Source organism: Homo sapiens, chromosome 3 (assembly GCF_000001405.40).
Source record: "Homo sapiens chromosome 3, GRCh38.p14 Primary Assembly".
Classification (NCBI taxonomy): domain Eukaryota; kingdom Metazoa; phylum Chordata; class Mammalia; order Primates; family Hominidae; genus Homo; species Homo sapiens.
Window position 1 is genome coordinate 31017045 of NC_000003.12, and position 11804 is coordinate 31028848.

The following is an 11804-nucleotide window of genomic DNA, read 5'->3' on the forward strand; positions in this document are numbered from 1 at the left end:
GTCCCTGAATTCCTGCTCATCCATAATATAATATCTTCTACTCTCCCAGAGGTATTTTTCTCTTATTTCCTTCCCACAGAGGAGAGGTGACTATTCTGGTGGTGAGACAAGGGAAAGTGTCATTGCAGCTGCATGTGCCTCTCTCTGTGTCTGTTCACCTGTCCTTTCTTCATTCAGTGAGCCCTGTGGGAAGGACCCCCCCTTGCAGAGAAAAGCCTAAATATGCCCAAGGGTTCTGTCTTTGACTGGATGTATACATTCAATTCAGAGGAGACAGTACAGAAGCCCATCTGGTCCCTTGTCTGTATCTCACACTCTGAAATCTAGCTTTTTATCAATAACACTGATACTCTTGACTTTTGTGTGAAAATACTAATAGCCAATCCTTAGATAATGTTTATTATGTGCCGGACTTGATTCCAAATGGTTTACATGTATTAATTCATTTAATCATCTAAAATCCTATGAGGTACATAGTAAGACAGGATAATAGGCTCACAGAGATGTCCACATCCTAATTCTCAGAACCAGTGAATGTATTACATAGCGTGGCAAGAGGGGAATTAAGAAATTAAGATTGCTAATCAGCTGACCTTAAGATAAGGAGATTATATCAGAATATTCATGTGTGCCCAGTGTACTCACAGAGGTCATTAAAAATGGAAAAGAAAGGCAGAAGAGTTAGTTGCAGAGTAAAGAAACATGAGAAACACTTGTGACTGATCATTGCTGGCTTTGAAGATGGAGGAAGGGACCTATGAGCCCAGGAATACAGGGGACTTCTGGAAGCCGGAAAAGGCAAGAAAACAGATTCTCCCCTAGAACATCTAGAAAGGAAACATAGCTCTGCAAACACCTTGATTTTATCCCAGTAAGGCTCACTTCAGACTTTTGATCTCCAGAATTGTAAGATAATCAATTTGTGGTATTTTTAGCCACTGAGTCTGAGGGAATTTGTTACTGCAGCAATAGGAAACTTATATTGTTATTATCTCCACTTAGTGGTTGAGAAAATTGAGGCAGGAAATGTTACATAACTTGTCCAAGGTCATACCCAGGCCAACTGCTGCCAGAGCCGAACCTCTGGATCACTGTGCGAACTACTTCTTTTGTGCTTTCCTAAATTGGATTAGAAATAGGTAGAATAGGAGGAATGCAATTAATGACTGCTTTTACAAATCTCAACAGGGGAGAGAAGATAATGACCAACATTGTTGAGTATTTCCAATGCTGCACATTTGGCATGCATTCTCTCATTTGATCCTCAGAGAAACCCCTGGTAATAGACATGTTTAATACATGTAACAGATGAGAAAACTGAGGTTTGCAGAGGTGAAGCAACTTGTTCAATTGGTGGGATTAGTAAGTGGTGATGGTAGGAGCTGCACACAGCAGTCTCACAGGCAAGTCATACCTGTTCATATATTGCTAAACTTAAACAGCTCACTTTCATAAGCCATCCATGACACACAGACATATATAGTACTGCTTCAGGGCCCTAATGACAAAATTATCACACGGACTGGGGAAAGGCTCATTTTCAGCTCTTCTATGTGGACATAGCCCTGACCTAAGCTCATGTACTTAGGGCAACACCAGTTCCCGTTGGGCAAGATGCTATGGATGTCTGGAAGACATGAGTGAAGCTGCTCTGACGTGGTTTGTGATTACACATTCAGTCCCTGGAGGTTTTCATAAATATCTGGGGCAGGGAGCTGAGCCTTTGGGGAAAAAGCAGGTGCAACAATGAACAAAATATGAGATATTAATTGTTCTGTGACCCTGTCTGTATCCATAAGCCGGTAAGTTTGGGAAAAGGCAGACAAACTTTAATCAGTGAATAAATGAGCTGTTGCCATGCTATTCACAACCACAAAATCTTAGCAACATATGATAAGTACCTATTTCTCATTCATACACCTGGAGTTTGGCCAATCCAGGCTGGACCAGGCAGAATTTGGCCTCAGGGTATGAGTCAGGTCCCAGTCTGCTCCATATATCTCATTATTCTAGGACCAGCAGGATACCCAGGGGGTATCTTTTTCATGGTGATGGCAGAAATGCAACAGGGACAAAGGGAACATATGATGCCTCTTAAAGACTAGGCTTGGAATTTGCACATGGCAACTCAAATCAAGTCATCCTAGCCAAGCCCAATACCACTGGGACAGTGAAGTATATATATCCTTCTCATGGAAGTGGCAGAAGTGGGAAATATTTGCTGACCAATAATGGAATCTGTCACAATCATTGCAAATCAAAGCCCATGAGGAGAAACAGATACCTTTAAACTGATGTCTGCAAGTGTCCTCACTTACAGACACATAGGCTCTGACTTCTCTTCCATACAAACTGGTCATCTATGCTCTTGGAGATATGCAATATGGCATTCCTCATCTTCAACTTCCAACATGTGCAGCTGTCTGCTGGGCCTCTTGAACATCTGTACTCCTATAATGTACTGTCCTTAAATGAGATCTAAGTTTACAGTTGGTATGGAGTCCACTCACAACAATGAAAAGCTCTCACATGGAAATTGTGCTTGTACAACATTCAATGGGCTCCCATCATGCCGATGTCCTCCTGCTACATGGACTGTCAGGTGCAGCCTTTTTGAGAGTCTCGTTATGTGCGTAATGTCTGGCTCAGTGCAACTATATCACTTTGGAAAGAACTTTTGAAGTACGCTGAACTCAAAAGGCAAGAAGGGACATTTGCCTTCAATTGCCTTCTCTCTCAACCAGTGACTAGATGAAATAACAGAAAAATAGATGAGGCCCTTAACTGTATAGTTCTCTTAATAAGTTAAGAGCACAGCTTACAAATGTTGACAAAGGTAGGGAGATAATCATTTCTTTGAGAGAAGAAAAAAAAGCAGATGACCATCTCGCAAAGCATGAATGTATTGTCTATATTTAGAAAAAATATCAGAAAAAATGATAAATTTTCTAGCTTTTTACAAGACATTAAAAGGAATCCAGGCTTTCCTTTCCTGACTCCCAGGAACATCATCTGAGGAAAGAACTGGAATCCCGTAAGCTAGTAGAAAACATGGCTTTTGCGGTTTTATATTGCTCCCATTTTTTTTTTCTTTATGTACTTTGTATTTCCTTCAAAATTACAAAGAAATAAAAGTAATGGTAGGTTTTGCCCTGGGATTTTGTTGGACTGAAGAAAGATGTTTCTAATTCTCTGCTAAGTATTTCTACTACTGACTATGCTCTGCATTCATTGAGTTTCTGCTCAGGAGGGTATAACAGAAAAGAGAACATGTTTTGGAGTCAGATCCTTGGACAAGTCATTAGCCTCAGTTTCCTTTTCTATAGAATCACGATGTTGATGCCTAATTTAATTCAAGGCCTTATTTTGAATATCACCAGGTAAACTCCAAAAAGGTAACATCAACTTGGAAAAATTTTAATCTTGAATTATCATGAAATTTTGATCTCTTCTTTATGCCTACTCTACATTAATTAGAGAGAGCACGTATCTCCCCCATTTCCTCCTTGTATCCATGGCAGCATTGTGGCTAATCCATAAATCCTCTGTATTACCATCTTTAGCCAATTCCCAAGCAACCATCTTTCAGGTAGGCTGACCTCGACAATGCAGGGTATACCTTACATTTTGACCCCATCATATCTGCACGTGGTTTCCATAATCACAGATAAAGGGGTAGAGAGCTGAGGGATGAGGAGGAGGAGGTCACACACTATTAAATTTTTCATTAAAGACATGACACACATCACTTCTACTTGTGGTTCATTCATTAGAACTAATCATATGACCCAGATTTTCTGCAATGGGACTGGGAATGTGAACATTTATCTAGCAGTAACTACGTCTGTCATAGAGGGTTTTAAGAGAACCACATCCAAATCTTTGATCACCCTGATGTCATGTGGCTGTAGGTAGGGTGAAATGAATGTTTCTCTGGGTAGGTTGAATATACAGGCACATTCGAACTCCTTCCCATCTCTATAATGTGATTATTTTATGAGCTCAATGACAATGAGACTAATATTTAGAGTTCAAGAAAAAAAATCTTAATTATTATTATTTTTATTTTTATTTTTCGAGACAGAGTCTTGCTCTGTCACCCAGGCTGGTGGGGCAGTGGTGTGATCTCGGCTCACTGCAACCCTTGTCTCCCAAGTTCCAGCTATTCTCCCTGCCTCAGCCTCCTGAGTAGCTGGAATTACAGGCACTCACAACCACACCCGGCTAATATTTGTATTTTTTTAAGTAGAGATGGGGTTTCCCCATGGTGGCCACGCTGGTCTTGAACTCCTGAACTCAGGTGATCCACCCACCTTGGCCTCCCAAAATGTTGGGATTACAGGCGTGAGCCACTGCGCCCAGCCAAAAATCTTAATTATTAAGAATACAAACAAAACGTAAAGTACAGTACACAGGGCTGAGGTTAAGGGAAGAATTCTGGAAATCTGATGCCTGTAAAACAAGTCAATAGGATGTAAAGAAGAAAAGAAATTTCAAATAATGTAGAATATATGGACAGAGCTTGTTTTGAACAAATATTTCAAGCAGGCCTCTCTGAGCACCATTGTAGGCCAGCACAACCCTTTTGGAAAGCAATTTAGCAAAGTATCAAGAGCATTCCAAATGTCCCTGTACTTTGAACTTGGAATTTCACCCTTGAGAGCTTATCTTTAAAGAAATAGAAAACAACTCTTTTAAAGACAGGGTCTCTCTCTGTCACCTAGGCTGGAGTGCAGTGGTGTGATCATGGCCCACTGCAAACTTAAACTCCTGGGCTCAAGCAATAGCTGGGACTACAGATGGTCTCTAAGACTTCATGTTAAAGAAACATTTCCTAAAACACTCTAAGTAAAAGTTCATCACAACTTTATAATATAAAACAAATGGAAACTAGAAAGTTTATGCATTAATCTTTAGGTAAATCATGCTATATACACCTAGTGGACTCTTTATTTATGAAGAAATAATCATATAAATACCAATTTAGCATCATTTTACCAAACAACAGTCCTATACTCTGAAAAAATGTTAATTCATACAAACCAAAAGACAACTGTGGAGCCCTTTAAGATTAAAGGAGACCAAGGAGACGTGCCAACTAAATTCAATGTGCTACACTTGATAGAATCTTGTTGGGGAAAACATTGTTATAGAAGACATTGAAGCAAATGGCAAAATTTAAATAAAAATTTGTATGATATCCATATTAAATGCCCTAAATCTGATCACCCTTGTTATTATACAGGGAATGCCTTGTTCTTAGGAGATACCCGCCAACATGTTTAGGCATAAAGGATCATAAAGTCTTCTACTCAATCTGAAATGATTCAGAAAAAGAAAAAATATTAATAATATTGTATATATAGTAAAGATAAAGATAATGCAACTGTTGCAAAATATTAACAATTGATGAATATAGAGAAATGGATGTTTAGTGTACTATTTTTGCAATTTGTAGTTTTAAAATTTTTCAAATTAAAAGTTTTTAAAAATATGCTCATCTGGAAAATGTTTATGACATAAGATTAAATAAAAATTCAGGGTATATAATCATGTATCCAGTGTGACCTTAGTTAAGTTAGAAATGCCTCTCTATGTAGAAAGCAAGACTAGAAGGAAAATACTGAAATATTAACAAATAACTAAGTTCGGTGGATGGATTGAACTGGGAATGCTTTTACACTTCCAGTTTTTATATATTTTCTTCACCTTTTTAATAACAATCTATCACTTTCATAATGAAAAAATTAGAAAAAAAGAACTACCAAGTACATAGTAACAAACAGAGTCATTTTTCCCCATGTTTCCAACTTTGAGCCTGAAGCCAAAATCCAGAGCATTGACAGAGGGAAATGAGTTCAAGCTGTCAGCTATTAAAGTGTGAAAGTCTATGTTTCAGGGGTTGCCAAGTGACCTTTAATGAACACCTGTCTGAGACAGAAAAATCACAGTATTCCAAGCTTAGGACTCAATGTATAATTTAGCTTTAGTATCACAGTGGGGCTACTGGATATAGCTCCAGCTTTAAGATTTATGGCCAAGCTGAGGAATATTTTTGAATTTGGCTTATTCTTCACAGACTTAAGCTTCAAGTTCATATGGTGCCAAGTAGCGAACCTCGACTTCTAATCATAGACCAAATGGGTTAGGCCTAACTGATTCATAAGCCTGCAAACATCTTTCAACTTTGGTAAGGTCAGCATCCTCTCAGTTCCTGGATCTTGGCCCCAGAAACTCTTTCCTACCCCTTCCTAACTAGTTTTTTCTGAGTTTACTATCTGTTTCTATTTTCTGGCTCCTGTTCTCAAAACCCACGTCCTCCCCAGGAATCCTTCTAGAAAAGTAGTCTTGCCTCACTTTTGTCTATCTGAAACAACTCAGCACGCCTAACACTTCTCTTCCTTCACATGGACAACCATCCTTTAAAAGCCTCCCTTCCTCCTGTTCCACTGACTCAGGGAATTGTCTCCAAGCTCCACTCACCCTTGCCTCGCACCCAAATCCATTACTCTATCTTGCTAGAACCACATGTATCTTTGGAATCTCAGCCCATTCCTTCCACCCATATAGGCTGATGTTTCTGACCATTCTCAAGGCAGCCCTGGCTGGGTCAACAGCTTCCATTCAGACCCTAAGACCTCTGCCTTTGTAGAAAATTGGTTTCAGTTTGCCTGAACTAGAAAAGTAGCTATCAACATTGCCAAATCCTACCAGGGGACCACAGGCCTTCCCATCTCCTGCACAGAGTCCTCTCATGGGGGTTGCATTGATTCTTAGCTCTCCTCTGACAGAACACACCGTGCTGGCACTGCTTCTAAGTTCTAATTCTACTGAGCTGACAGGAATATCAACTACAGTCATCCTAGAGGTTCCCCAGTCCCCAGCGTTATGCAGAGTTATGCAATGCCGTTCTCTGCTTGCATTAGCAGTCAGGTGGGTTCCTCAGTAGGCTTAAAGCCAATTCATGTTCCCCACTCAGAATCATCCTCACCCCACCTATGCCCTTATATAAATGACTGCCTGTGTCAATTCTTAAAGTGAAGTAAAATGCCCATGTCCATGGCTATGTGGTTTCCACTCTTCTTCACACAGAGGCAATCAAAAGTCATCAACCTCCACTCACACTCCCTCAGTTTATGTTTTTACCTATAGATCACTAGGAAAATAGAAGCACTTAGACAGAAAGTTTCCCATCTTTATATATCCACACCTATTCCACTCTCTCATTTTCCTTCTGATTCAAGCACGAACTGTCTTTTATTCTGCTCCTTCATTGTTGTATCACCTACATCATCAGTTTACATCCAGGGGACTTTCTCCATCAGCAAACATACTTAAGGCAAACCCTTAATTTATCTCATATCCTCCTCCAGCTACTGTCCCATTTTGTCATTTTTCATCATAATTTGTCTCCATTTTTGACACTCCATTTTTCTTCTTTAATATACCCCAATTTAAGGAAGGCCAATGCTTTTCTTAGGGCCAGCAGTAACCTCCTTATTTCCAGATACAATAGTCACTCTTTTTTTTTTTTTTTTTTTGAGATAGAGTCTCGCTCTGTCACCCAAGCTAGAGTGCAGTGGCGCGATCTTGGCTCACTGCCAGCTCCACTTCCTGGGTTCACGCCATTCTCCTGCCTCAGCCTCCCAAGTAGCTGGGACTACAGGTGCCCGCCACCACGCCCGGCTAATTTTTTGTATTTTTAGTAGAGACGGGGTTTCACCGTGTTAGCCAGGATGGTCTTGATCTCCTGACCTTGTGATCCGCCTGCCTTCGCCTCCCAAAGTGCTGGGATTACAGGTGTGAGCCATCACGCCCAGCCAATAGTCACTCTTTTAGTCTCATCTCATTTACCCTTTTAGCTCAATACAGTTGACCATTCTTTCCTTGTTGGACTACTTCCTTCTCTTGGTTTTCCATAGTAATTCTAGACTCTGCTGGTTTTTCTCCAATTCCACAAGCCCCTCCCCAATCTTCTTTGCTAACTCCTCTTTTGATTTCCAAATGTTGGATGGCACTGCTGGGGATCAGCTCTAGGTTATGTGCAAGTCTCCCTCTATGCTCTCTGGGATCTTACTAAGACCAATGGCTGTGCCAAAGACTCTCCCAAATTGATACTTTCATACCAACCACTCCTCTGGTGCCAAACCCATATAGACAGCTGCTTCCTTGACATGTTGGATGTCTACAAGGCATCAGAAACTTTACATGGTCAAACAAAATTCTTGATTCCTTCTCTCTCTCTTTCATAGAGAGAGATTTGCACATGGCCTGGAACTGATCTCCAGCAGTGCAGTCCAAAATCTAGAAGTCAAGTAAAGGAGGGGGAGTTAGCAAGGAAGACTGAGGACAGGCTTGTGGGATTAGAAAGAAACCAGGAGAGTCTGTCTCTCTCCATCTCTCTCTCTCTCACTCACACATACACACACACACACACACACACACACACACACACACACAAATTCCCTTCCAACCCAGGTTCTATTTCAGTTAATGCCACTAGTCCTAGTCCTAATCCCTTGTCCTGAAATCTGAAATCCTCTTTGCTTCCTTTAACTTCTTATTCCCTCACCTCCAAACCTGCAAACCAACAACAAATCCATTAGATTTTCCTTTGAACTACTTCTCAAATTCATTGACTTCTCATGCCCCTGCTACCACCCTGACCTCAGCCACACTGGCCTCTTGGCTCTACTGCTGCAATAGGCCTTAGTCAACCCCACTCTCCACTTCCCCTCCAATGCAATCCATTCTCCACACGCAGCCAGAATAACTTTCTTAGAATATAAATAGTATCATGTCACTCAGTTCTTCAGACCTTCCAATGGCTTCTTAAAATGATATCCAAATACCTTGCCACAGCCTACCAGAGCCTAGAGGAGACCTGCCGGTTTCTCCAATTCTGTCTTTCACCCCCTCCCCATTGTTCATCATGCTTTACCCACACTGTCTCTATCCCTATTCCTTAAACACACCAAGTCCTCTCCTGCCTTTGTACTTGATGTGTCTTCTGTCTGGATACTCTGCTCCCATATCTTCAAGACTGGCTTCTTATCATTTAGTTTCAGTTTAAGATTCATAGATTTTTTTTTTTTTATCATTTAGTTTCTTATTTAGTTTCAGTTTAAGATTCATAGATTATTTTTTCTTAATCTGAATTCATACTCCTCACTCTGAGTTGCTCCCCAAACAAGTTATTTTTTTATTTTTTATTTTTTTGAGATGGAGTTTCACTCTTTTTGCCCAGTCTGGGGTGCAATGGCACAATCTCGGCTCACCGCAACCCCCACCTCCTGGGTTCAAGCGATTCTCCTGCCTCAGCCTCCCAAGTAGCTGAGATTACAGGCGTGGCACTACCACGCCCCGCTAATTTTGTATTTTTAGTAGAGACGGGGTTTTGCCATGTCGGTCAAGCTGGTCTCAAACTCCCGACCTCAGGTGATCCGCCCATCTTGGCCTCCCAAAGTGCTGGGATTACAGGCATGAGCCACCAGGCCTGCCCCAAACAACTTACTTTACTTTCCTCAAAGCCCTTATCACCATAGGAACTTATCTTAGTCTTTCTCATGTTAATTGGTGCATTGCTGGTTTGCCCATCAGAAGGAAGGCTCTCTGAGGGCAGGAACCTCACTGATCTGGCCCCCGTTAATGTCTCAACACCTAGAGCAGAGCATGGCATAGGACAGGGCCTCAGAGCATCAATTAGTAAAAGAATAAATCTCTAATGACTGTAAACTCAAATTAGAGAGGGATATAAGAAGGTCTGGGGGAGAAAAAATGTTAGAAGAAAAATAAGTTTGGATTGGGCATGGTGGCTCACGCCTGTAATCCCAGCACTTTGGGGGGCCGAGACAGGCAGATCATGAGGTCAGGAGATGGAGACCATCCTGGCTAACATGGTGAAACCCTGTCTCCACTAAAAATACAAAAAAAAATTAGTCGGGCCTGGTGGCGGGCACCTGTAGTCCCAGCTACTCGGGAGGCTGAGGCAGGAGAATGGCGTGAACCTGGGAGGTGGAGCTTGCAGTGAGCCGAGATCGCGCCACTGCACTCCAGCCTGGGCGACAGAGCGAGGCTCCGTCTCAGAAAAAAAAAAAAGAAAAGAAAAAAGAAAAATAAGTTTTACAGAATAACAGTCATATTCCAGTCCTTCTCAGCTTGCCAAATTTGTGAGACTTTGGCTTTAGGGTATATGAAAGAACACACATGGTAATGCTTTCCTGAAGAGAAGTTTTGTCACTTTGGCCAGCATTTGCTCCTTAAATAGCTACTCATAGATCCTTACTGAGACAAGGGCTACTGGCAAGCCTCCTCCTGCACTGGTGATTTGCCTACAGGTGCCTGGTAGACACAGGCAGGGCTTGGGACATTGGAGTGGAAACTTGCCACTTTCACATCTGAGAAAGGAGTCACTTGTTTCTAATTATTCTTTGTCAGTGACACCTTCCATTTGTATAAAGTTTTTGGTGCCACCAAGTGAAGTGTAGATTTACATAAAATCATCTTTAAAAAAAAAAATACAGAGATGTGGATACAGGGTACGGTTTAAGAGGAAGTGTTGACCCAAGTCTGTGGTTAATGGCTTATAGATCTCAGTACTTGAATCAAAAAAGATCTCTCCATTGGAGGGTTTACAACACTGAAATCATGGGTGGAATAGGAAATACCCATCTGGTTTGGAGGCAGGGAATCATATAATCCTCCTCAATAGCAATCACTTGTGGAATATCTGAAAGATGATGAGATTCTTAAGCACATTTATAATAGATTTTAAAAACTGGCTATAACCATTATATTTCACATACCTTGAATGACAAATATTAACTATGTGACATCTGGAAAGTAACTCAAACCTCAAACTTTTTATATCTCTGTTTGTCTATAGAATGAGGCAAGTAATATTGCTTAGCGAAAATATTTCTACCCCTAGTTAGAATGTGGAAAGTCTTAAGAGACCACTACTACCCTAATAGGCCAAGAAAAATTATCAGACCAAAATGCATAGAAAAAAAGTTTTTAAAAATGCTATAAAACAATATCAAATGGTCTAACATACATGTAATTGGAGTCTCAGAAGGTATAAGAAGAACAAATGGAGCCAAATAAACATTTAAAGAGCTAAAGGCTGAGAATCTTCCAAAAGTAATATGAGACATCAAGCCACATACAAAAAGCTCAATGTACCCGCCAAAAGAATGTAAAAACAAAATTCCACCTAAGCCCTTCACAGTCAACTGCTGGAAACCAAAGATAGAGAAAATCTTGTAAGCAGCCAGAGACAAAAGACAGATTACATACAGAGGAAAAGGGGAAGAGAAGACTAACTATAGGCTTTTCATCAGAAAAACTGAAGGCCAGAAGATAATGAATTGGCAACTTCAAAGTGGCAAAAGGAAAATGACTATCTTAGAACTGTGTACCCAGTTTGGCTCCCAGACTTCACCATTAGCTAATAAGGGGTGGTACTTTTATTGTGTACTCAATGCCAGGATTGCAAGATCCTGAATGAGCTTTTGCTATGCATAACCAAAGCTCAGTCAGATATTCACCTGGATCAAGGGCCCACCCCCTCCTTCAGCAGCATTAAGCTCAGTAGAACTCCCAAAAGGAACATCTTCCATGCACCACCATGGCTCTTAGCCTTGGGTGTCATTAGAATCACTTTGCACCTCAAGCCCCACACTTTGACGTCCTGATTTAAGTGTTCTGGGTTGGAGTCTTGGCTTTTTTTTTTTTTTAATTTACCAAGATGATTCTAGTGAGCAGCTAGGATTGTGCCCTGTTGTTTAAATAGAATTATTTCT

The 11804-nt window shown here is 40.8% G+C and overlaps 1 annotated feature.

The window, feature by feature from the left end:
• Positions 9669-9863: a silencer, noted in NCBI's record as "fragment chr3:31068205-31068399 (GRCh37/hg19 assembly coordinates)". NCBI's record gives its function as "represses an EF-1alpha promoter that drives an FKBP-Casp9 reporter gene in an ReSE screen in K562 erythroleukemia cells {active_cell/tissue: K562}" and the evidence as "EXISTENCE:reporter gene assay evidence [ECO:0000049][PMID:32094911]".